At 49.1% G+C, this 26,582-nt stretch overlaps 1 protein-coding gene across 8 annotated transcripts in view, besides 4 other annotated features; it reads right to left on the bottom strand.

Annotated features, from left to right (window-relative positions):
- The window catches only part of ARHGEF18 (Rho/Rac guanine nucleotide exchange factor 18), a 131,053-nt gene extending 115,637 nt beyond the window's left edge, over window positions 1–15,416 (bottom strand). For 5 of the 8 annotated variants that reach the window (XR_007066705.1, XM_011527836.3, XM_011527837.3 and 2 more), the window contains exons 1-2: window positions 8,650–8,758; window positions 1,448–1,572 (exon numbers count right to left, since the gene is read on the bottom strand). Coding sequence is in view for 6 of the 8 variants with exons in the window: in XM_011527836.3 (XP_011526138.1) it covers window positions 1,448–1,572; window positions 8,650–8,734 (210 nt within the window). In the remaining 2 variants the exon portion in view is untranslated. Of the gene's footprint in view, window positions 1–1,394; window positions 1,573–8,649; window positions 8,759–14,309; window positions 14,473–15,111 lie in introns of those variants that run through there. The other 3 variants (XM_006722706.4, NM_001367823.1, XM_011527839.3) reach the window with 3 other exon arrangements.
- Window positions 9,771–9,890: a silencer, noted in NCBI's record as "silent region_9978". NCBI's record gives its function as "represses an Ori minimal core promoter by ATAC-STARR-seq in GM12878 lymphoblastoid cells {active_cell/tissue: GM12878}" and the evidence as "EXISTENCE:reporter gene assay evidence [ECO:0000049][PMID:35858748]".
- Window positions 19,400–19,469: an enhancer, noted in NCBI's record as "active region_13879". NCBI's record gives its function as "activates an Ori minimal core promoter by ATAC-STARR-seq in GM12878 lymphoblastoid cells {active_cell/tissue: GM12878}" and the evidence as "EXISTENCE:reporter gene assay evidence [ECO:0000049][PMID:35858748]".
- Window positions 22,942–23,011: an enhancer, noted in NCBI's record as "active region_13878". NCBI's record gives its function as "activates an Ori minimal core promoter by ATAC-STARR-seq in GM12878 lymphoblastoid cells {active_cell/tissue: GM12878}" and the evidence as "EXISTENCE:reporter gene assay evidence [ECO:0000049][PMID:35858748]".
- Window positions 23,072–23,181: an enhancer, noted in NCBI's record as "active region_13877". NCBI's record gives its function as "activates an Ori minimal core promoter by ATAC-STARR-seq in GM12878 lymphoblastoid cells {active_cell/tissue: GM12878}" and the evidence as "EXISTENCE:reporter gene assay evidence [ECO:0000049][PMID:35858748]".

Raw genomic sequence — 26,582 nt, 5'->3', positions numbered from 1 at the left:
CCTTCCTTTCTTCCTCTCATCCTTCTTCTCATCTATCCATTACCCCTCCATTATCCGTCCATCCTTCCTTCATCCTTTCATTTATCCATCCTCCTTCCTTCCATCAACCCATCCATCCATCTTCCTTACTTCCTTCCTTCTTTCCTTCCTTCCACTCACCCGTCTTCTCATCTATCCATTCACCCATCCGTTATCCATCCATCCTTCCTTTATTCTTTTATTTATCCATCTTCCTTCCTTCCACTCACTCTTCTTCTCATCCATCCATTCATCCATCCATTACCCATCCATCTTTCCTTCATTCATTCATTTATCCATCCTCCTTCCTTTCATCCACCCATCTTCCTTCCTTCCTTCCTCTCACCCTTCTACTCATCCATCCATTCACCCACCCATTATTTATCTATCCTTCCTTCATTCTTTTATTTATCCATCCTCCTTCCTTCCATCAACCCATCCATCCATCCCCCTTCCTTCCTTTCTTCCTTTTTTCCTTCCTTTTCACTCACCCTTCTTCTCATCCATCCATTCACCCACCCATTATCCATCCATCCTTCCTTCATTCTTTCATTTATCCATCCTCCTTCCTTTCATCAATCTAGCCATCTTCCTTCCTTTCACCCATCCATCTTTCTTCCTTCCTTCCTTCCACTCACATTTCTTCTCATCCATCCACTCACCCATCCATTATCCATCCATCCTTCCTTCATTCTTTCATTTATCCATCCTCTTTCCTTTCATCCATCCATCTTCCTTCCTTCCATCTTTCATTTTATTCATCAATCATTCATGTATCCATCCACCCACATTTCTCATCTTTCTTCCTTCCTTCCATTCACCCACCTTTCTACTCTTTCATTCATCAACCATCTCTCCTTCCTTCCTTTAATCCACCCATCCTTCTACCTATCCATCCATACTTCCTTCTTTCCTTCCTTCCTTCATCCATCCTCCTTCCTTCCATCAGTCCATCCATCTATCCATCTAGCTTTCTTCTTTTTATTCACCCATCATCCATTTATCCATTCACCCACACTTCTACCCATCTTTCCTCCCTTCCTTCTAGTCATCCGTCATCCATTCATCCACCCAGCCACCCTTCTATTCATCCACGTATCCATCCATCCATCCATCCTTCTACTCATCTTTCCTTGATTTCCTCTTTCCTTCCATCTATCCATCCATCTATCCAGACACCCACCCACCCATCCATCTATCCATCCATCCATTCATCCCTCCATTGCTCCTTTCCTCCCTCTTCTTATTTCAGAACAGATTCTGGTTTCCTCATAGGTAAAACAGGATAATAAATGACTTTGCAAGTTTCGATGAGGATTCCCTGAGATAATGTACACAAAGTGCCTGGTAAAATGCAGGTGCTAAACAAAGTGTACTTGCTGCCACTGTCGTCATCAGCTCCTGCCCGTTTCAGCAGTCAGACACCTGCCTGATCATCCCCCATGGCAGAGAAGAAGTCTGGGTTCTCAGGTTTCCAGGATCCACTGCTGCTCTTGGTGGCTGAAGCCACAGCTCCAGAGTCAAAAGGCTGGACACATGACTTGGGCTCAGAGCCTGTGGAGAAAGGAGGGACAAGGTGTCAGGGATAAGCTGGGAGTGCTGAGGAAGCCAGGACCTGGATTCTGCATCTGTTGCTGGTCACCCTGGACCTCAGTTTTCTCAACTATAAAATGAGTTGGTGAGGGGAGGGGGAAGATGGTCTCAATGATCTTGAAGCCAACATACGTGTCACCTCTTCCCCATCCCAAGCCTATGGCAGACATTGCTAGTCAATCATGAGTCAATTTCCTGCTTAGCCATTTGCCCCCTCAGGATTCTTCCCAACACACCAGTTCCAACAGCCATCACCAGGTGATCCAAGTTGGCTTATGTATGAAATCAATTTGTTATGCCTGCTCTAGGAAAAAGCCCTCAGTTGATCAATGATGCTAATGGTCCCGTAGACCAAATGCAAGTACCCAATGCCCACATTGTTTTTCCTCCTCCTCCTCTTCCTCCTCCTCCTCCACCTTCTTCCTTCTTCTTCCTCCTTCTCCTTCTTCCTCCTCCTCTTCTTCTCCTTCCTTCTTCCTTTCTTCTTCCTCTTCCTCTTCTTGTCTTCTTCTTCCTCTTCTTCCTCTTCTTTTCTCCTTCTTCTTCTCCTTCTTCTCCTTCTTCTCCTTCTTCTCCTTCTTCTCCTCCTTCTCCTTCTCCTTCTCCTTCTCCTTCTCCTTCTCCTTCTCCTTCTCCTTCTCCTTCTCCTTCTCCTTCTCCTTCTCCTTCTCCTTCTCCTTCTCCTTCTCCTTCTCCTTCTCCTTCTCCTTCTCCTTCTCCTTCTCCTTCTTCTTCTTCTTCTTCTTCTTCCACAGAGTCTTGCTCTGTTGCCCCCAAGCTGGAGTGCAGTGGCGTGATCTCAGCTCACCACAACCTCCGCCTCCCGAGTTCAAGCCATTCTCCTGCCTCAGCCTCCTGAGTAGCTGGGATTACAGGTGCACACCACTGCACCTGGCTAATTTTGTGTGATTAATAGAGTTGGGGTTTCACCATGTTGGCCAGGCTAGTCTAGAACTCCTGACCTCAGGTGATCTGCATGCCTCAGCCTCCCAAAGTGTAGGGATTACAGGTGTGAGCCACGGTGCCCGGCCAGTGCTTTATTTGTTTTAGGGCTGAATAATATTCAATTGCATGGAGATACCACATTTCGTGTATCCATTGATCTGTTGATGGACATTTGGGTCGTTTTCACCATTTGGTTATTTCAAATCACGCTGCCATGAACAATTGCATACAGATGTACGCAATTGCACGGATGTGTGTTTTCCATTGTCTTGGGTCGTTACCTAGGAAGGGAATTGCTGGAGTACATGCTAATCTATGCTTAGCTTTTTGAGGAACCGCTGTTATGCAGTCTCTTTTTTGAGATAGAGCCTCACTCTGTTGCCCAGGCTGGAGTGCAGTGGCGCCATCTTGGCTCACTGCAACCTCCACCTCCGGGATTTGAGTGATTCTCCTGCCTCAGCCTGTTGAGTAGCTGGGATTACACGTATGCACCACCACACCTGGCTAATTTTTTTTATTTTTAGTAGAGACGGGGGTCTTGCTACGTTGGCCAGGCTGGTCCGGAACTCCTGAGCTCAGGCAATCCCCCCGCCTTGGCCTCCCAAAGTGCTGGGATTACAGGCATGAGCCATTGCACCTGGCCTAAAACCACTGAATTGTATGCTTTAAATGGGTGAAGTATATGGTAGCTCAATAAAGCTGTTCCTAAAAAGTTTTTTGTTGGAGCCTCTTGCAGAGCTTTGGATGGGGCAGGTACACATGGGGCCTGAAGCTTCAGTTTCCATTGCTTCAAGGTAAATTTGCCCCCTGATGCCACCTGTATTCACAGATGAGTGGCTGGACAGTAACGAGCAATGCCAGGGTTTCCACCATCACTGCTTTCCAGGTTGCCCTCCCGGGCTGGTTGGAGGGACTCTGTTCAGCTGCTGTTGTTAAGCTTTGCATCTGTTCTCTTCCCCACCCAGAAGCCGAAGCAGCATCTATGACTCACAGAAACGAAACAAGCAGGCTGTGAAGGAGGAGGAAAGCCAGATGTGGGGGAGGGTCCTGGAGGTTGGTGGGAGCTTGGGAGGGGAAAGGCAGTCCCATTCCTCAGCCAAGTCCCCTTAGGGCTGGAGGAGAGCCTGCAGGGTTGGCTTGCTTCACTGGACAGGGTCCTTGTGGAGGCCTGAGGCCTCCTGTAGCCTGCAGGACCTCATGCCCTGTATCTGTGAACCCTGAAGGTCTGGGATCCAAAGATCAAAGGTGAAAGGCCAGGGTTGGCCGGGCCCAGTGGCTCACACATGTAATCCCAGCACTTTGGGAGGCCGAGGAAGGCGGATCACTTGAGGTGAGGAGTTTGAGACCAGCCTGACCAACATGGCGAAACCTAGTCTCTACTGAAAATACAAACATTAGCTGGGCATGGTGGCATGTGCTTATAATTCCAGCTACTAGGGAGGCTGACACATGGGAATCTCTTCAGCCAGGGAAGGGCAGGATGCAGTGAACTGAGATTGTGCCATTGCACTCCAGCCTGGGTGACAGAGTGAGACTCTGTCTCAAAGAAAAAAAAAAAGGAAAAGAATGAAAAAAGAAAAGAAAAGAAATGCCAGGGTTGTGTGATTGTGCATGTTTTGTTGTTGTTGTTGTTGTTGTTGTTTTGTTTCAAGAGAGTCTTGCTCTGTCACCCAGGCTGGAGTGGTTCCATCTTGGCTCACTGCAGTCTCCACCTCCTGGGTACAAGCGATTCTCCTGTCTCAGACTTCTGAGTAGCTGGGACCACCGATGTGTACCACCATGTCCAGCTAATTTTTGCATTTTTAGTTGAAATGGGGTTTCACCATGTTGGCTAGGCTAGTCTCGAACTCCTGGTCTCATATGATCCTCCCACCTCGGCCTCCCAAAGTGCTGGGATTACAGGCATGAGCCACTGTGCCTGGCTGAGTTTTGTTTTTATAGGGAAGCTTCTGACCGAGGAACAGGTTGAGCTTGACCTGATGATGAACTCAACTGTGATCCTAGTTCCCAATGACTGACTCAACTCTGATCCTAGTTTTACAGATTGAACTCCAATCTTTGTGTCACAGACTGAGCCATGATCCTGGTGTCATATACTGAGCCTTGATCCTGATATCACAGACTGAACTTCATCTGGCTGTCATTGGTTGAGCATTCATTCTTGTATCATAGAATGAACCCCCCTCCTAGTGTCATAGACTAAGCCTTTATCCTGGTGTCATATATTGATCCCTGATCCTAGTGTCATAGGCTAAGCCCTAATCCTGGTGTCATAGTCTTAGCTCTTATCCTGGTATCATAGACTGAGCCCCAATCCTGGTGTCATAGACTGAATCTTGATCTGGCATCATAGACTGAGCTCCAATCCTGATGTCATAGGCTGTGTCCTGATTCCAATATTATGAGCTAAGCCCTAATCCCAGTGTCATAGACTGAGCTCTGTCAATTACCAACCACAATTGCCCCAAACGATTGCCAATCACATTTGTCACTGATCCTCAGCTACCAGTCTCTCCCCTGTAGTCCATCTTCTGTCCTGGAGTTGGTGTGTCCTTTTGATATAACCCTCTGATGGTCACTCCCCTTCTACTGATCCCCACCCCTATAGACTCCAGTCCCCTTAGAATGACATTCAGAGCCCTCCTCAGCCTGTCCTCTTACCTCCCTGTCACACACATGCACACCCAACTCACCATTCTCCTGGTATCTCTGTGCTGTTCCTACCACTCTTCCTGCCTGGCAACTGAGGGCTCTGTCTCAGATCCTCTGCAGACAATTTTAGCCATAGGACTTTGGATTGCTCTGCCTAGCTCTTTATAGAAAAGGTTTGCTGATCCATGCTCTAGAGCATGAGGTCTGTGAGGGCAGTGACTATATCTGATCCACTTTTACATCCCCAAGCTCCAAAAGGTAAAATCTTGTATCAATCACTTTCTATATGTCTGGCTTAGTGCTAAGCCCATCATGTACTTTTCACTCTTCTATACTCACAGCAACTCTGAGTCCTCATTTTATAGAAAGGGAAACTGAGGTTTAGAGAGGTGCACTGACTTTACCAAGGCCATACCAATCTGGTATGAGGTAGAGCTGGGAGTCAAATTCAGATGTTTCTGAATTCAAAGAAGAGATCCCAATCACCAGGCTATCCTCTGCTGTGTTGGGTTGGGCACAGAGTCAGTGCCCATATATTTGGATAAATGGGTAGATAAATGGATAGATGGTTGGATGGATGGATGGATGGATGGGTGAGTGGATGGTTGAATGGATGGGTGGATGTGTAGAAGGATGGATGGATGGATGAATGAGTGGATAGACAGATGGGTGAATGGTTGGATAGGTAGATGGATGGATAGGTGGATGGATGAATGGTTGGACAGGTAGATGGATGGATAGGTGAATGGATGAATGAGTAGATAATTGGATGTATGAGTGGATGGGTGGATGGATAGGTAGATGGATGAATGGATGTTGAATGGATGGATGGTTGGATGGATGGAAGAGTGGATGGATGGATGGATGGATGGAAGAATGGATGGAAGAATGGGTGGATGGGTGGATGGATGGATGGATGGATGGATGGAAGGATGGATGGTTGAAGAGTTGGCTGATTGGATGGATGGATGGATGGATGGATGGAAGGATGGATGGTTGAAGAGTTGGCTGATTGGCTGGTTGGCTGGATAGATAGTTGGATGGCTGCATGGTTGCAGGGATGAATGGGTAGATAGTGGGATGGATAGGTTATATGGCAGTGTCCAGAGGCAGCGATGCATTACACTCAGGAGATGGCATTCTGAGGGGGTGAGGAAGCACATATAGAAGGAAGAGGGACAGAATTGTGGCAGAAGAGCCACACAGGAAGGAAACCAAGGTGAGCGAGGCACAGACTGCACTCATCAGACATGCACCAACAGATTGAGGAATGAATGAAAAAGCATGAGCAGAATGGGTAATGGGGGCAGTTGATGGGGAAGGGGCACTGGGACCCTTCACTGAAGGTCTCAGTTCTCCTCTCTCAAGCCTTACTTGCCACCCCAAGTCCAATCCCACCCTTTCCCCGGGAAATTCCTATTAGGTGCCCAGACAGCCAATTACAGAGCTTAAGAGGGTGACAAAAAGGCCATTCTTCCCTGCTTTCCAAGGCTGATGACAGGAGACACGCTGTAAGGGAGTCACTCTCCCAGGGGAGCTAAGCCAGAGGAGAAATGAGGCCTCAGGGAAAGGGGCTCTGTTGGGGATGCACCCTGCTCCCCACCCCCATGCTTCTCTCCAAGGAGCTGTCCATCAGCCTGGATTCAGTCCCAGGCAGCCTCCTCCACTATCAGCCCCCACAGCATCAGCCATAAAAGGGTTTAAGAGTCACTGTCAGTTCCCACAGCTCACTCCCCCACCTGCTAGCATATAAATCCCAGCCTCAACTGCCTGGGCAGGGAGACAGGGTGAGCTGAGCAGCCACAAGAGGGACAGAACTTCTTAGGGACCTGGGTCACAGGCAGACACTTTGGTAATCCATGGCAGATACACTGATTCTTCAGGATCGCCATCCACCGTTGGATCTAAAAACCCTCCCCAGGCACTCCAGCTGCCCACACTGGCAGCTTTGTTCATCAGTCAGAACACATCAAAGTGGCCTCACACAGAATCGGCTTCAAATCCCGGTTCCTCCAGCATATACTTGCTGTGTGACCTCGAGCAAGTCGCTCAACCTCTCTGAGCCCAACTTCATGAGAGCTCAACAGCCACCAACAACTTTTATCCTGATGATTACTCTTCTATTGCATCCCAGTTCCCAGGCCATCCTCTCTCCCCCTAACCCCAGCCCTTGGGTCCCCTGGCACTCCCATCTGCTCCCTGACCCCGGCACAGTGCCTGGTACACAATGAGCCTTCAAGGAGGGTCAGTGGAATGAATGAGCTAACGAATCTTCACATTGGCCCCCTCTTTCATGAAAACTCACTGCTACCTTGAACAAGTACGTGGCTCATGCAGGTGATGGTGGCTGTGACTAACAAGTCATGCAGGCTAAGCGATGCGGCTGGCCTGACCAGGAGGCGCTCATATGGGCAGTGGGGAGCCGGAGACAAGAAAACCCATGAGGCAATGAGTGCATGACCAGCTTTTATGATATTGTCCAGCACTGTCCTCTCATGCCCTACGTACCAGGACATCATCTGGTTATCTTCAAGGGCTAAACTCTTGAGCATTAAGAAGTGTCTCTTTGATGGCTGGGCGCGCTGGCTCACACCTATAATCCCAGCACTTTGGGAGGCCGAGGCAGGTGGATCACCTGCGGTCAGGAGTTCGAGACCAGCCTGATCAACATGGTGAAACCCCGTCTCTACGAAAAATATATAAATTAGCCAGGTGTGGTGGGGGGCACCTGTAATTCCAGCTACCCGAAAGGCTGAGGCAGGAGAATGAATTGAACCCTGGAGGCAGAGTTTGCAGTAATGAGCTGAGATCGCGCCACTGCACTCCAGCCTCGGCGACCGAATGAGACTCGGTCTCAGAAAAAAAAAAAAAAAGAAAAAGTGTCTCTCTTTGCAACAACAGTTCACTCAGGCCTTTGATGACATAATAAAGGCTGTTATCAGTCCCCAGAGAGGTCACCTGAGGCCTGGGGACCCTGGGGGTTGAGAGAGAGAGCACCAGCCGATGTGTGTGTGTATGTGTGTTGGAGGGAGGTGTGTGCCCCAGAGCCTCTAATCCCCCCGTTTTTGTTTCTGCCCTGAGCCTCCTGTCCTGCAGCTGGGCCAGAAACCAACAGCATCTGGGACCCCCAGGAGATCGCTGGGCTGCCCCTGAGGAGTTCAGCGGCTGAGTTAAGAGGGCGGACTTTCTTTCTGCAAATTTACCGCCCGAGACAAATTCCTGGCCAAGTCTTGGGAGACATTTCCTCTGAAACAAGAGGGACCCCACAAGTCTGTGATAATTCCAGGGGGCCCTGGAGAATCAGGGGTCATGGAATCCAGGGCCGATGCCAGCAGAGTCTGTACTGCAGCCAAGAAAAAGCTCGAAGGGGGATGGCGGGCAGGCTGTCCTGGGATCCCCACCTGGGTGGATGGCTCCCGCTGGTCACTGCCAGCTGCTTACCTCTCTTGAAGGCCCACCGCTTCAGCCACAGCTTGGAGAAGGCCGGCCAGGAGTGGTTGAGCACCGAGTCAGCCATGGGGGCCATGCGTGCGTGTGAGAGCTTGAGTGTGAGCTGGCCTGGGAATCCCTGCCAGGATGGGGCTGCCAGTAAGAGGGGCGGAGACTGCCTCCAAGGTCTGCCAGATACATCAGCTGATAGAAGCCTGGGGCTTCAGCAGGGGGGCTGGGGTTTCCAGCTCAGGGGCCCAGGGACCCCTGGTTTGAGGAGAAGCCAAGCCCTTTAGCACCCTCTGTCCCTTAAACCCAGTCTTACAGGCCTCTTACCCTGGCTGGACAAGACAATCTTAGGGAAATACAAGTACAAACTGGGTCCCTCGGGGAGCCTGGGTGTGCATGGATGTCTGAGTGTTTGTGTGTGTGTGCGTGCCATCGTCTTGGTGGGTTTGATGATGCATTTCCATGTTGTGTAGAGAGCACGTGCTTTTGGGTTTGTGATTCTGTGTTTCAGGGTGAGTTCTGAATATCAGCTTGTCAATGTGGGGGTGTATTTGATTATCTAGATAGTTTTAAAAGTGTCTCTGTGATTGTCTGTGTGTGTGTGTGTGTGTGTGTGTGTGTGTGTGTGTGTGTGTGTGAAGCCCATTGGTATCCGTGAGGTCAGATTTAACTACATGACTCATCTGTGTCTTGGGGAGATCTGTTTCTAGTATCTATGAGGTGGTTTTGGTGTCCGCCTGGGTTTCTGTGTTTCTACATATTTGTGTCTTCATCTGTTTCTGTTTTTTGTTTGTTGTTTGTTAGTTTTGAGATGGGTCTTGCTCTGTCACCCAGGCTGGAGTGCAATGGCGTGACCACAGCTCACTGCAGCCTCCAACTCCCGGTCTCAAGGGATCCTCCGGCCTCAGCCTCCTGAGTAGCTAGGACTACAGGTGTGTGCCACCACACTGGCTAAGTTTTGTATTTTTTGTAGAGCTGGGGTCTCACTATGTTGCCCAGGCTGGTCTCAAAACTCCCAGGCACAAGCGATCCTCCTGCCGCGGCCTCGCAAAGTGCTGGGATTGCAGGCATTGAGCCACATCACCTTTCTCTCTGTACCCAAGTGTGGGGTATGGTGTGTGTGTGTCAACGAGTGCTCATCCGTGCAGGTGCTGCCCCCTCGTGGTGGAAGCTCCTTTATCAGCGTCTTCACTCCTTGTGTCTGAAAAATCCCTGCTTCAAATCCTGGCTTCAAATCCCAGCTCCTCCAGCACGTACTTGCTGTGTGACTCCCTCCTTCAGTCTCCCAATTGTTTACATTACTTCCCAGCCCCAAATCACCCCCAGCCCCAAATCAGCCTCCCAAAGTGCTGGGATAACAGGCATGAGCCTGTTATTTTTTAACTTTTATTTTTGAGACAGGATCTCACTCTGTTACCCAGGCTGGAGTAGTATGATCTATAGCTCACTGCAGCCTCGAACCCGTTGGCTCAAGCAATCCTCTTGCCTCAGACTCCTGAGTAGCTGGGAATGTACATGCATGCTATCACACTTGGCTATTTTTTTTACTTTTTTCTTTTTTGTAGGGATGGGGTCTTCTATGTTGCCCAGGCTGGTCTCAAACTCCGAGCTTCAAGTGACCCTCCTGGCTCAGCCTCCAAAGTTTTGGGATTACAGGCGTGAGCCATGGCACCCAGCCAAATCTCACTTTAAAAATACAACAGGGATATCTATTTCTTTTCTTTTTCTTTCTTTCTTTTTTTTTTTTTTAGACAGAGTCTTGCTCTGTCACCCAGACTGGAGTGCAGTGGCTGATCTCAGCTCACTGCAACCTCCAACCTCCACCTCCTAGATTCAAGCGATTCTCCTGCCTCAGCCTCCCTAGTAGCTGGGATCACAGGCGTGCACCACCATGCCCAGCTAATTTTTGTATTTGTAGTAGAGGCAGGGTTTTGCCATGTTGGCCAGACTGGTCTTGAACTCCTAACCTCAGGTGATCCTCCCACCTCGGCCTCCGAAAGTACTGGGATTACAGGTGTGAGCCACCACACCTGGCTAAATCTCACTTTAAAAAAATACAACAGGGATATCTATTTCTTTTTCTTTTTCTTTTCTTTTCTTTTTCTTTTTTTTTTTTGAGATGGAGTTTCACTTTTGTTGCTGAGGCTGGAATGCAATGGCGCAATCTCGGCTCACTGCAACCTCTGCCTCCCGGGTTCAAGTGATTCTCCTGCCTCAGCCTCTCAAGTAGCTGGGATTACAGGCGCCCGCTACCATGCCTGGCTAATTTTTTGTATTCTTAGTAGAGATAGGGCTTTGCCATATTGGCCAGGCTGGTCTCGAACTCCTGACCTCAGGTGATCCAACCACCTCAGCCTCCCAAAGTGCTGAGATTACAGGCGTGAGCCACTGCACCCAGCTGGAATATGTATTTCTAATGATGGCAGGCTAGCTTATTGCAGATTTATTCTCCCACCAAGAACAAATAGAAAAGCTGGACAAAATTGGAAGAGTGAAAAACCACCCTTGCTTGGAAGGCATTGGCAGTCAGAGTTGGAAGAATCACGGCCCTGGAAAGAAAGGAAACCTAGGGGCCAGGCGCGGTGGCTCACACCTGTAATCCCAGCACTTTGGGAAGCCGAGGTGGGCAACTCACTGGAGGTCAGGAGTTCGAGACCAGCCTGGCCAACATGGTGAAACCCCGTCTGTACTAAAAATACAAAATTAGCCAGGCATGGTGGTGGATGCCTGTAATCCCAGCTATTCAGGAGGCTGAGGCAGGAGAATCGCTTGAACCTGGGAGGCAGAGGTTGTGATGAGCCAAGATCATGCCACTGCACTCCAGCTTGGATGACAGAGCAAGAGTCTATGTCAAAAAAAAAAAAAAAAAAAAAAGGCCAGGCACGGCGACTCACACCTGTAATTCCAGCACTTTGGGAGGCCGAGGTGGGCGGATCATGAGGTCAGGAGATCGAGACCATCCTGGCTAACACTGTGAAACCCCGTCTCTACTGAAAATACAAAAAAATAGCCGGGCGTGGTGGCAGGCACCTGTATTCCCAGCTACTCGGGAGGCTGAGGCAGGAGAATGGCGTGAACCTGGGAGGTGGAGCTTGCAGTGAGCCCAGATCATGCCACTGCACGACAGCCTGGGTGACAGAGTGAGATTCCATCTCAAAAAAAAAAAAAAAAAAAAGGAAACCTAGGAAAGTGAGAAGGACATAATGTAATGCTTTTCCCTCACAAACAAGTTGTTGATTTGAACACAGTTCTTGAGTGAGTGGGAGGCAGACCAGAAAAAGCCTGAGAACCTGAATGTAGCTCTTAGCAATCTTATGTTGGGGAAATAAACATTGGAATTCAGGGCCCAAAAAGAGGAGGTGATTGCCACCCCTAAAAGACTACACCCTAGGAGCAAGGAGGGACCAGACATAGACTAGCCCTCACCGAGAGCAAAATCCATCTTCAAGTCAGCATAGGTCACAATCAGATTAAAGTGATCTTTCCTTTCTCTAACTGCCTGCCCAAAGCAAAAATAAACGCTCTATGGAGGAAAATGACACCATAAAGAGACACAAATTATCCCTATAGTTTTTCACAAACAAGGCCTGGCATTTAATCAGACTACCAGGCATACTAGAAGACAGAACCTCATGACCAAAAAACAAGAAGAAACACAGACAATAGCAACAGCCCTACAGGAGATAAAGATGCTAGAATTAAAAATACAACAGGCCAGGTGCAGTGGCTTACATCTGTAATCCCAGCACTTTGGGAGGCCAAGGCAGGTGGATCACCTGAGGTCAGGAATTCAAGACCAGCCTGGGTAACATGGTGAAACCCTGTCTCTACTAAAACTACTAAAATTAGCCAGGTGTGGTGGTATGCATTTATAATCCCAGCTACTCAGGAGGCTGAGGCAGGAGAACTGCTTGAACCCAGGAGGTGGAGGTTGCAGTGAGCTGAGACTGTGCCACTGCACTCCAGCCTGGGCAACTCTGTCTCAGAAAAAAAAAAAAAAAAGAGAGAGAGAGAGAGGCAGAGAGAAAATACAGTAGCATATGATACAGGGATGGCTGGATGGGATCCTTAAGAAGTCCACTCTAGCTGGGCACAGTGGGTCATGCCTGTAATCCCAGCACTTTGGGAGGCTGAGGTGGGGGGATCACAAGGTCAGGAGATCAAGACCATCCTGGCTAACACGGTGAAACCCCGTCTCTATTAAAAATACATAAAATTAGCCGGGCATGGTGGCGGGCGCCTGTAGTCCCAGCTACTTGGGAGGCTGAGGCAGGAGAATGGCGTGAACCCGGGAGGTGGAGCTTGCAGTGAGCCGAGATCGTGCCACTGCACTCCAGCCTGGGCAATAGAACAAGACTCCATCTCAAAACAAACAAACAAACAAACAAACAAACAAACAAAAGAAGTCCACTCTAGCAGACTTGCTTACAGATTGAGATCCACCATGGGTATGACCCAGAACATTTCAGAAGATGGTGGGACTGCTCAGGAAGGAAGGCCTGGGGACAAGGTCAGTATGAAGGCATAGGTGAGGCTGACAATGTTTTCTGATCTATTACGTGCCAGACACTGCACTAAGATCTCACAGACCAAACTTCATAAAGGCTGAGCGAGGTGGTTCATGCCTGTAATCCCAGCACTTTGGGAGGCCAAGGCAGGCAGATCACCTGAGGTCAGGAGTTCAAGACCAGCCTAACCAATATGGTGAAACCCTGTCTCTACTAAAAATACAAAAATTAGCTGGGCATGGAGGCGTGTGCCTGTAATCCCAGCTACTTGGGAGGCTGAGGCAGGAGAATTGCTTAAACCCGAGAGGCGGAGGTTGCAGTGAGCTGAGATTGCACCAATGTACTCCAGCCTGGGCGATAGAGCAAGATTCTATCTCCAACACACACACACACACACACACACACACACACACACACACACACACACACACCCACCCCAAAAAACTCAACAGCCTTTTAACAGATGAGCAAACGAAAGCTCAGAGCAGTTAAGTCATTTGCCCAAGGCCACATAGAGGCCAGGGAACTGGGATTTGAACGCCCAGCTGTCCAACACAGTCACCATGTCATCTACAACAGTATCGAGCATCAACATATGCCCATCCCTTTGTCATGGGCTAGGGGATGCCCAGGGAGGCATGGGAGACAGCCCAGACCAGAAGCACCGACGTGTTTGCAGTTGCCATCTACTGGTTCTTCAAGGCATAATGAAAAGGCTGCCTCTACCAAGCAGCCCTCCCAGAGTGACTCCCAGTCACAGCAAGGGAGTTGAAATGTGGCTGATTATGAGGGCAACCCTTTCCTGACCTCCTTTGGTTGTCATGTTCTTTTCTCAGAACTGCAGGTGACCTGGCCTTGGAGCATCAGCCCCCAGCGTCACTTCCTAGCTCCATCCTCTCTGGCCCCAGCTGTCCACTCTAGCTCAATTCACTCCCTCCTGGTTCTGGGGCCACCTTCCTAGACCTCAGGGTGCCTGAAGCCTGCCCTGCAGCATTGGGGGCTGGCAGGAAACAACAGACTGGGTGTGCCCAGCAGAAACCGCAGCCTTCCTCCCCCACCCCTCCCAGTCCCAGGCAGGCGGTGGTGCAGGAGGTCCCCCTAAGAAGGGGCCACGAGAGGAGACAGGGGATGTCTCCCAAGGGGGAGAACCCTCACCTGGAGGAAGGCTGCCTGGGTGGAGGGATGTGCTCTCTGGATGATTTCAGATCAGGACAAGACCCTTCTCAGGGCTGGTTGTCAGCCATCAGCCTTAAGTGTGAGTTTGTTTTGACAGTGGATTCAGAATCTGCAACAGGGAGGTTCTTGGGGGGCCCGGAATCTGCAGTTTAAGATGCAAAGGGCACCTGAGCCTTTGCCCCAGCTCCCCCATTCATTCTCTGTCTCCTGTCTCCACGCAGGAGGGCCTTGGCTACAAGGAGCTCTATCGTCCTTTCTTTGCTTTTCTTTTTCTTTTCTTTGTTTTGAGACTGAGAGGCTCACTTCAACCTCTACCTCCCGGGTTCAAGCCATTCTCCTGCCTCAGCCTCCCGAGTAGCTGAGATTACAGCTGCCCGCCACCACGCCTGGCTAATTTTTGTATTTTTAGTAGAGACGGGGTTTCACCATGTTGGCCGGGCTGGTCTCCAACTCTTGACCTCAAGTGATCCGCCCTCCTCAGCCTCCCAAAGTGCTAGGATTACAGGTGTGAGCCACCGCGCCCGGCCTCCACCCTCCTTTCTTACCTAGCAGCCCCTCAAGGATCCCCGTCCCCTGGGGTGACCTCTTATGACCACAGATCTCTGCACAATGAACGCAAGGGTCAAACAGCTTCCCCCACCCACTCAGGAAGCAAGTTGACTGCAAGGGGGAGAGAAACAGTGATGTATGTCTGCTCGCTGTCCCCCTAGACTTCCCAGACCCCACTGCCACTCTGTCCCGATGGGTCCATCTCTCTCCACTTCCCAGGATAAGTACTTACCAGATAGAGCTCAGTTCTTCAACCTGCAGGCACCTAGCCTGGCTAACAGCTCCTGCAGCTCCCATGACCTACGGCCAGCGTTTCGAGCTGGCCCAAGGGAACCGCTGGCTGGGTAGAGCCTGGGATAACCACAGAATGACCCAATAGCACCTCGACTTCCTCTTTCTCAACTGCCTGCCTGCATGCTTGCCACTCTGCTCCCAGCTGCAGGCCAATCTAGGGGCCTAAAAAGAGCCCAGAGGATGGGGGTTCTGGAGGCAGAGAGCCCTGCTCCCACCCCTCAGCCCTGCGCATGCAGGTGTCTTGAGGAGGAGGGGTGGGGAGCTGGAGGGAGGCCCAGCGTCCTCAACCCCCACCCCAGCAGCTTCCTGTGGAACCAACTGCTGAAGAGGAACAGGGTGTGGGGGCCTCACCCAGGCACATGGGTGTATAGACAGCAACATATAGGGACGTGCAGGTCATGTGTATCCGTAGAGACTCAGGCACCCAGACACACACCAGCATGGTGGGTACACACAGAGAGACAGAAACACACGTGGCTACATTGTTACATGGGTACCTGGAAGCTGGCGGAACAACATGGTGTGCTGGTAACGTTTAACAACCACCTCTCCGATTTGTAGCCATTGCCAATTCTCCTGGTGTAAATACCCCCAGCATGGCCGATTTCACCTACCAGTGTGATGTCACCGAGTGTGGAGTTGATAGGAAATGCTCAGATTTGGCTTTTTTTAGAAAACAACAACAACAACAACAAAAAACTGTTTATTTTATTTTTAGAGATAGGGTCTCATTCTGTCATCCAGTCTGGAGTGCAGTGGAAAAATCATAGCTCACTGCAGCCTCAATCTCTTGGGCTCAAGTGATCCTTCTGCTTCAGCCTCCTGAGTAGTTGGGATTACAGGCACATGCCACCATGCCTGGCTAAGTTTTTTGTTTACAGATAATTTATGTATAATTTATATATACTTTATATATAATTATATATGGATTATATATAGACTTATATATAATTTATATATAATTTTTTATATATAATTTTTCTTTTGAGACAGGCTCTCACTCTGTCATCCAGGCTGGAGTGCAGTGGGGGTGATTTTGGTTCATTGCAACCTCCATCCCCTGGGCTCAAGTGATCCTCCCACCTCCGCCTCCTGAGTAGCTGGGACCACAGGCACACATCACCACGCCTGGCTATTTTTTTTTGGTTTGTATTTTTAGTACAGACAGGGTCTCACCATATTGCCCAGGCTGGTCTCGAACTCCTGGGCTCAAGCAATCCTCCCACCTTGGCCTCCCAAAGTGCTGGGATTAGAGGCACGAGACATGGCGCCCAGCCTAAGTTAATTTTTTTTTTTTGTAGAGACAGGGATTTTATTATGTTTCCCAGGCTGGTCTCAAACTCCTGGGCTCAAGCAGTCCACCCGCCTTGGCCTCCCAAAGTGCTGGGATTACAGGCATGAGCCATGATGCTCCACTAAACTTGGCTCTTGGGCTGGCTTCAGCCTGTCACTGGAGTGAGTACTCTACAAAAAATTTAAAACTTCGCCACATTTGGTGGTGCCTGCCTGCAGTCCCAGCCGCTCCGGAGGCTGAGGCGGGGAGGCTCACTTGAGCCCAGGTGTTCAAAGCTGCAGTGACCTATAATTGTGCCACCGTACTCCAGCCTGGGTGACAGAGTGAAATCCCATTTTTTTTAAAGAAAGTTAAAATGGTAAATTTTACGTTATGCCTATTTTACCACATTTAAATTAATCACTTTAACATTATTTTTGCTGCATTTTCCATAATCTATGCTTTTTTTCCTTTTCCTTTTTTTTTTTTTTTTTTTTTTTTTTTTTTTTTTGAGATGGAGTCTTGCTCTGTTGCCCGGGCTGGAGTGCAGTGGTGCAATCTCAGCTCACTGCAACCTCTGCCTCCTGGGTTCAAGTGATTCTCCTGCCTCAGCCTCCCAGGTAGCTGGGATTATAGGTGACCCCCACCACACCAGGCTAATTTTTGTATTTTTAGTAGAGACGGGATTTCACTATGTTGGCCAGGCTGGTCTCGAACTCCGGACCTCAGAGGATTCGCCCACCTCAGCCTCCGGAAGTGCTGGGGTTACAGGTGTGAGCCACCACACCTGGCCTCATAATCTATGCTTTTGATGTTGCTTTTGTGTATGGAACCTGTTTGGTAGAAATACTGTATAATGGTTTGCTGCTGTCCATATCTTTCTGACTCACTGTTCGGTGGCATCACTTGAAATTGGCTGTGGCGAGAGTATTTACACCATGAGGACTGGCAATGCTATAAATCAGTGCTCTCCACTGGAGAGGTTCAACATTTACCAGCACACTACTGCACAGCGGTGCACACAGATGGTTTTGGGATACTGCACAATCACACTTCACACATGGTCACACATAGGCACAGGGACTCACAGAGGCAGATACAAGTGTGCACAACTACATGTAGGAGCCACCCCACACACAGAGGACACGAGACACATGCACGTGCACAACAGAGCACAACAGCGCTGCACAACAGGGCTGCAGGCTCCTGGAACACAAAGCTCAAGGACACACCCAGAGGACACACAAGGATACGCAAACACAGACACGTGTGCTCATGGGCACAACTTCACACAGGAGCATGCAGTGTCATGTGGACATGCAGAATGGGCATGCAGACACACATACACAACAAACACCCCGACACACATGTGGACTCACAGCCACAGTCACACAGAACACTCACACACACACACACACACACACACACACACGAGCAGATGCTGCTGGCCAGGCGCGGTGGCTCATGCCTATAATCTCAGCACTTTGGGAGGCCGAGGCAGGTGGATCACCTGAGGTCGGGAGTTTGAGTCCAGCCTGGCCAACGTGGTGAAAACCCATTTCTACTAAAAATATAAACATTAGCCGGGTGTGGTGGCATGTGCCTGTAATCCCAGCTACTCGGGAGGCTGAGGCAGGAGAATGGCTTGAACCCGGGAGGCGGAGGTTGCCGTGAGCCAAGATCATGCCACTGCACTCCAGCCTGGGCAACAGAGTGAGATTCCATCTTAAACAACAAACAAAAACAAAACAACAACAACAAAAAAGAGCAGATGCTGGCCACCTCTGAGAACACCTCTGGAGACACTGACTTGCACACCGGTTGCCACGGGACCACTCAAAATCACTAACACACAGACCCGGAAAGCCCTCACCACAAACACTCACTGGCCCATAGCGCCGCGCTTGTCCCTGGGGACACAGGTGGGGCCATCCCCAGAATCACACCAACGAGACACACACAGAACACAAGGAGACACAGATATACACAGATTTGCACACACCCATTCTGTAACCAGTTGATTATTTCTTTCAGGCAACATGCATTTATCGAGCACCTACTGTATGCCAGGCACTGTGGCAGGTGTGGGATCACGGTGAACAAGACAGACACAAACCCCCGCCCTGCAGGAGCTCCAGCTGGGGGAGGCAAACAGTGAATCAGGAAACACACCTAGGAGATAAATTCAGGTGCTGTGAATTGCCGCAACAGGAAGTAAACAGAGTGATGCGATAGAGTGGGTGGGGGAGGTTGATGCTTTAGCTGGGAAGGTCAGGGAAGGCCATTTGAGCTGAGATCTGTAAGCTCAGAAGAAGTCAGGCATATAAATCAATGTCTAGCTGGGCGTGGGGGCTCACGCCTGTAATCCCAGCACTTTGGGAGGCCGAGGCGGGTGGATCACGTGAGGTCAGTAGTTCAAGACCAGCCTGGCCAACATGGGGAAACCCCATCTCTTCTAAAAATACAAAAATTAGCCGGGTGTGGTGGCGTCTGTCTGTAATCCCAGCTACTCGGGACACAGAGGCAGGAGAATTACTTGAATCTGGGAGGCAGAGGCTGCAGTGAGCCGAGATTGTGCCACCCTACTCCCACCTGGGTGATAGAGTGAGAAAAAAAAAATCTAGGGGAAAGTTATTCTGGGTGGTAAAAACTGCCAGGGCAAAGGCTTGGAGGCAAGACTGAGCTTGGGGTGTTTGAGGAACAGAAGGAAGCAGGTGTGGCTGGAGCCAGGCGGAGGAGGACTGTCACAGGACCCAAAGTGCTGGGATTACAAATACGACACACCGCACCTGCCCTTTTCTCCCACTTTTGATAGAGACATAGCAGAGTGAAATATTTCTGTGCTGTAGAAATACTCTGTGCTGTTTGGGAGTACCGTCCACACTTCCTGTCCACGCTTCCCCACTCTCTGAACCCTGGCCTCTGTCCCCACTGCGCCCCGGACACCTGATATTGGCCTTAAGGCCGAATGCAGAGGCCACCCCTCGGCTGTGCACACCTGGCTCCCTTCCTTCCCCTCCACCACCCCGTCCAGCCCGCAGGGAGGGCCACCACCTGCTCTACCCTTTACTGCTTGCGTTGGTGGGAAAAGACACATAACATAACATTTACCCTTTTACCTTTTTTGTTTGTTTGTTTTTGAGACGGAGTCTCGCTCTGCTGCCCAGGCTGGAGTGCAGTGGCACGATCTCGGCTCACCGCAACCCCCGCCTCCCAGGTTCAAGCAATTCTCCTGCCTCAGCCTCCTGAGTAGCTGGGATTACAGGCACCTGCCACGACACCTGGCTAATGTTTTGTAGTTTTAGTAGAGATGGGGTTTCATCCTGTTGGCCAGGCTGGTCTCGAACTCCTGACCTCAAGAGATCTGCCCACCTCGGCCTCTCAAAGTACTGGGATTACAGGCGTGAGCCACCGTGCCTGGCCTTAACCATTTTTTTAAATTTAAAAAATGATTTTTAAAATGTGTATACATTTAAGGAGTATAAAGGCAACTTTGTTACATGGATAGATTGCGCAGCAGGAAGCCTGGGCTTTAGTGTAACCATCGCCCAAGTAATGTACATTGTAGCCATTAAGTCATTTCTCATCCCTTACCCCTCCCGCCCTTCCTCCTTTACCCCTTCCGGGTCTCCACTGTCTAAAATTCCGCACTATGACCACGTATACACATGATTTAATTCCCGCTTATAAGTGAGAACATGCGGTATTTGACTTTCTATTTCTGAACTGTTTTACTTAAGATGATAACAGCCTACAGTTCCATTCATATTGCTGCAAAAGACATGATTAATTCTATATTTTAACCCTTTGTTTTTGTTTGTTTGTTTGTTTGTTTTTGAGACAGGGTCTTTGTCACCTGGACTGGAGTGCAGTGGTGGGATCACAACTCACTGCAGCCTCAATGTCCCAGGCTCAAACAATCCTCCTGCCTCAGCCTCCCGAGTAGCTGGGACTACAGGTGCGTGCCACCATGAGCGGGTAATTTTTAATTATTTTTTGTACAGAAGGGGTCTCATTATGTTGCCCAGGCTGGTCTTAAACTCCTAGACTCAAGCAATCCTCCCATCTCAGCCTCCCAAAGTGTTGGGATTACAGGCATTAGCCACTGCCCCCAGCCCATTTTAACCTTTTTTTTTTTTTTTTTTTTTTTTTTGAGACAGAGTTTCTCTCTTGTTGCTCAGGCTGGGATGCAATGGCGCAATCTCTGCTCACTGCAACCTCCACCTCCTGGGTTCACGCGATTCCCCTGCCTCAGCCTCCCAAGTAGCTAGGATTACAGGCACCTGCCACCATGCCCAGCTAATTTTGTATTTTCAGTAGAGACAGGGTTTCACCATGTTGGCCAGGCTGGTCTCAAACTTCTGATGTCAGGTGATCCACCCACCTCGGCCTCCCAAAGTGCTGGGATTACGGGCGTGAGCCACCGCCCCTGGCCCTTGTTAACCATTTCTAAGTGCACAGTTCAGTGGCATTAAATGCATTCGCATTGTTGTGCAATCATCTCCAGCACTTTCTCATCTCCAAACTGAAACTCTGTCCCCATGAAACCCTCGCTCCCCATCTCCCTCCCCAGCCCCTGGCACCCACCATTCTGCTTTCTGTCTCTGTCAATCTAGTGACGGTAGGGACCTCCTATAAGTGGAATCACACAGGATTTGTCCTACTGTGCCTGGTTTCTTTCACCCAGCGTAATGTCTTTAAGGTCCATCCATGTCAGCAGGTGTCAGAATTTCCTTCTTTTTGCATCTGAATCATATTCCATTGGTGGATAATTGGGTTATTTCTATCTTTTGGTAATTGTGAATCATGCTGCTAAGAACATGGGTGTATAGGCTGGGCGTGGTGGCTCACGCCTGTAATCCCAGCACTTTGGGAGGCCAAGGCGGGTGGATCACGAGGTCAAGAGATCGAGACCATTCTGGCCAACATGGTGAAACCCCGTCTCTACTAAAAGTACAAAAATTAGCTGGGCGTGGTGGCGCTCGCCTGTAGTCCCAGCTACTTGGGAGGCTAAGGCAGGAGAATTGCTTGAACCCGGGAGGCGGAGGTTGCAGTGAGCCGAGATCGCGCCACTGCACTCCAGCCTGGGCGACAGAGCGAGACTCCATCTCAAAAAAAAAAAAAAAAGAACATGGGTGTATAAACATTTGTTTTGAGTCCCTGCTTTCAACATTTGGGTATGTACCGCTGGAGAGATTTTTTTTCCTTCCTTCCTTCCTTCCTTCCTTCCTTCCTTCTTCTTTTGTGGTGTTGTTTGTTTGTTTCTGAGACAGAGTCTCACTGTGTTTCCCAGGCTGGAGTGCAGTGGCGTGATCTCGGCTCACTGCACTGCAACCTCCGCATCCCGGGTTCAAGCGATTCTCCTGCCTCAGCCGCCCGAATAGCTGGGGATTATAGGCATGTGCCACCACACCTGGATAATTTTTGTATATTTAGTAGAAACAGAGTTTCACCATGTTGGCCAGACTGACCTCAAACTCCTGGCCTCAAGTGATCCACCTGCCTCGGCCTCCCAAAGTGCTGAGATTGCAGATGTGAGCCATCACGTCCAGCAGAATATATGCAATAGAACACAGGTCAGCAAAGTATAACCTTTAGGCCAAGTTTAACCCAATGCTTACTTTTGTAAATAAAGTTTTTATTCTTGTTTTCTGAGAGACAGGGTCTCATTCTGTCACCCAGGCTGGAGTACAGTGGTGTGATCATAGCTCACTGCAGCCTCGACTTCCCAAGCTCAAGCCAGCCTCCCTCCTCATCCTCTGGAGTAGCTGCGACCACAGGCATACAACACCGCGCCTTGCTATTTTATTTTATTTTTGTCCTTTTGAGACAGAGTCTTACCCTATTGCCCAGTCTGGAGTGCAATGGCGCAGTCTTGGCTCATTGCAACCTCCGGCTCCTGGGTTCAAGAGATTCTCCTGCCTCAGCCTCCCAAGTAGCTGGGATTACAGGCATGTACCACAATACGTGGCTAATTTTTTTTTTTTTTTGTATTTTTAGTGGAGATGGGGTTTCACCATGTTGGTCAGGCTGGTTTTGAACTCTTGACCTCAGGTGATCCACCCACCTCGGCTTCCCAAAGTGCTGGGATTACAGGCATGAGTCACCCTGCCCGGCCTTATTTTATTTTTTGTAGAGACAGGGTCTCGCTATATTGCTCAGGCTGATCTCAAACTCCTGGGCTCAAGTGATCCTCCCACCTCGGCCTCCCAAAATGCTGGAATTACAGGCATCAGCCGCCCCTGGAGGGTTTTAAGCAGGGGCCTGTGAACCTATTTTGCTTTCAGCTTTAAAAGATGCCTTGGCCAGGTGCGGTGGCTCATGCCTGTAATCCTAGCACTCTGGGAGGCCGAGGCAGGCGGATCGTGAGGTCAGGAGTTCAAGGCCAGCCTGGCCAATATGGTGAAACCCCGTCTCTATTAAAAATCCAAAAATTAGCCGGGCATGGTAGCACACGCCTGTAGTCTCAGCTACTCGGGAGACTGAGGCAGGAGAATCGCTTGAACCTGGGAGCCAGAGATAGCAGTGAGCCAAGATCGTACCACTGCAATCCAGCCTAGTGACTCCATCTCAAACAACAACAACAAAAAGCCTTTTTCTTCCAGCCTTAGCTGCTATCATGGAGATGGCCACGTGGGGGCAGCACTTCCCCATGGCTTCTCCTCTGGCCAGAAAGACCACAGAAAGCAAAACAGGAAAAAAAACCGACCCTTGTGGAAAGCCGGAAGGCTTACAGGGGCCAGGCAGCAGCCTGAGTTAGTGAGGGCCATGGGGTGTGAGACACGGGTTTGCCCTTCCTTCTACCACGCTTATTTTTTTCTTGGAGTAGTCTCACTGTGTTGGCCAGGCTGGTCTCAAACTCCTGGCCTCAAGTGATCCTTCCTCCTCGGCCTCCCAAAGTGCCGGGATTACAAATGTGAGTCACCACACCTGGCCTTTTCTCCCACTTTTGACAGAGACGTGGCAGAGTGAAATATTCCTGTGCTGCAGAAAACAACATAATTTCAGTTGGGTTAAAGATGAAATGTGAACAATAAACCAATACAGATCATAGAAGGAATTTACAAGGCTATTTTTACAATTGAGGGTTGAAAACATGCTTTTTTTGAAATTGTTGTGTGTGTGTTTTAACTAAGACAGAAAACCCAGAAGCTATGAATGAAACCACAGAAATACTTAATACATAAAAATCTATATAAACGTGGCCGGGTGCAGTGGCTGATGCCTGTAATCCCAGCACTTGGGGAGGCTGAGGCAGGTGGATCACTTGAGGCCAGGAGTTAGAGACCAGCCTGGCCAACATGCAGAAACCTTGTCTCTACTAAAAATACAAAAATTAACTGGGTGTGGTGGTGGGCACCTATAATTGCAGCTACTCGGAAGGCTGAGGCAGGAGAATCACTTGAACCCTGGTGGCAGAGGTTTCAGTGAGCTGAGATCTCACCACCACACTCCAGCCTGGGTGACAGAACAAGACCCTGTCTCAAAAACAAAACAGAACAAAACAAAACGAAACAAACAAAAAACTATATAAACATCTGTTAAAAATCTTATAATAAAAATAAATATAACTAACAGAATAATTTTATAAATTATCAGGGAAGTATATACAAAAGCAATAAAGAAAGATGAATTGGTTGCCTGAGAAGGGTTGGTACCTTTATATGCAAAGAGATTTCACACATTGATAAGAAAAAAACACAACAGAAATAGAAAATTAAGAATTTGGGGCCGGGCTTGGTGGCTCATGCCTGTAATCCCAGCACTTTGGGAGGCTGAGGCAGGTGGATCAGTTGAGGTCAGGAGTTCGAGACCAGACTGGCCAACATGGTGAAAATTAGCTGGGCAGGTGGTGGGCACCTACAGACCCAGCTACTTGGGAGGCTGAGGCAGGAGAATCGCTTGAACCTGGGAGGCAGAGGTTGCGTCAGTGAGCTGAGATCGCGCCATTGCACTCCAGCCTGGGCAACAGAGGGAGACTCTGTCTCAAAAAAAAAAAAAGAAGAAGAAAAAGCAAGAAAAGAAAAAAAGAGAAAGAAAGGGTGTGAACAGGCATGTCTCAGAAAAGCACAGACGGGAGCCAAAGAATGATGAAAATATAGTTCCCAGAAGCCCAGAGAGTGCGAATTTCAGGGAGCTGTTCACTTCATATCTAAGAGTGCGGCAATAGCAACCACCAAAAGGAATGTATCTGATTATCATCTTACTGTAGTTGAAATTATATTGGAAATTAGAACATGTATTTATGAAATTCTACAGTCTTAATTTGTCTACATGATTTCTAATATTTTCTTTTTTCTTTTCTTTTCTTTCTTCTTTTTTTTGGGGGGGTCGGGGGACAGGGTCTCCCTCTGTCACCCAGGCTGGAGTGCAATGGCACAATTTCAGCCCACGGTAACCTCAACCTCTCAGGGGCTTAAGCGATCTTCCCACCTTAGCCTCCTGAGTAGCTGGACAACAGGTGGCCACCTCAAGTGGCATTTCTTTTTCTTTCTTTCTTTTTTATTTTTCTTTGAGAGGGAGTCTCTGTCTCCCAGCAGTGGCACAATCTCGGCTCACTGCAACCTCTGCCTCCCAGATTCAAGCGATTCTCCTGCCTCAGCCTCCCGAGTAGCTGGGACTACAAGTGCGTGCCACCACGCCCAGTTAATTTTTGTATTTTTAAAGACAGGTTTTCACCATGTTGGCCAGGATGGTCTCAATCTCTTGACCTCGTGGTCCTCCCACCTTGGCCTCCCAAAGTGCTGGGATTACAGGCGTGAGCCACTGCACCCGGCCAAATTGTATATTTTCTTGGCAATTATGAATAATATCACTACAAACATTTATGTCAAGACTTCAATGTGAATATGCTTTCATTTATCTTGGTAAAATACATAGGAATAGAATTTCTGGGTGCTATGACAAATGTATATTTAGCGTTGTAAGAAACATTTTAACTGTTTCTTTTGTCTTTTCTTTTTTTGTGATAGAGTCTTCGTCTGTCACCCAGGCTGAAGTGCAATAGCACGATCTCGGCTCACTGCAACCTCTGCCTCCCTGGTTCAAGTGATTCTCCTGCCTCAGCTTCCTGAGTAGCTGGAATTACAGGCGCATGCCACCATGCCCAGCTAATTTTTGTGTTTTTAGTAGAGACGGGGTTTCGCCGTGTTGGCCAGGCTGGTCTCAAACTCCTGACCTCAAGTGATCCTCCAGCCTCGGCCTCTCAAAGTGCTGGGATTACAGGCATGAGCCACTGCACCCAGCTGGACTGTTCTTCTTTATTCTTCTTTTGGTCCTCTTTCAGTTCTCTCCCTCTCTGTCTCTGTCTCTCTCTCTCCGTGTGTGTGTGTGTGTGTGTGTGTGTGTGTGTGTGTGTGTGTGTAGGCAAAAAGCTTAGATTAGATAATTAGGCTGGGCACAGTGGCTCATGCTTGTAATCCCAGCACTTTGGGAGGCTGAGGCAGGAGAATCAATTCAGCCCGGGAGTTCAAGATCAGCCTGGGCAGCATAGCAAGATCCTGTCTCTACAAAAAATTTAGAAATTAGCCAGGCATGGTGGTGCCCACCTGTTGACCTAGCTACTCAGGAGACTGAGATGGGAGGATCCTTTAAGCCTGGGAGGTGGACACTGCAGTGAGCTATGATTGCCCCACTGCACTCCAGCCTGGACAATAGAGTGAGATCCTGTCTCAAAAAAAGAAAAGAAAAGAAAAAGAAAAATAGATCTATATATATGCAGTAGATGTTACTTATTCAGACAAGTGAGAGTACCTAGCACACTTCTGGAAATAGGGTTGCCAGATCAAATATAGGAACCTGAGTATCTTATATATTTATCCGTTAAATGTGGCAAGCCAATTCAGGGACTCTTTGTGATAGCATCTGTGTCCCCAGGGGCTGGTTCCCCAATTCTCATAGTAACACGGGGTGGGGCAGCAGGCTGGGCTCTTTCTTTTTCGCATCCAGGCTGTTGGACCCCAGAGAAACCACAAGGGACTTTAGAGGCTTCAACAGGAAAACCGCATCTTAATATAACCCAAGAACTGAACATTCTCGTAATGAGATGTCCACAGAAGCACAGTGCCATTACTTTACATACTTCCAATGGCAAGATGTGTCCTGGCGTGGCTTCTGGCACTGGTTATGAATCATAA

This window comes from Homo sapiens, chromosome 19 (assembly GCF_000001405.40).
Source record: "Homo sapiens chromosome 19, GRCh38.p14 Primary Assembly".
In the NCBI taxonomy this organism is placed as follows: domain Eukaryota; kingdom Metazoa; phylum Chordata; class Mammalia; order Primates; family Hominidae; genus Homo; species Homo sapiens.
The sequence above is the reverse complement of the archived record's forward strand: the minus strand, read 5'-3'. Positions and strand labels throughout refer to the sequence as shown.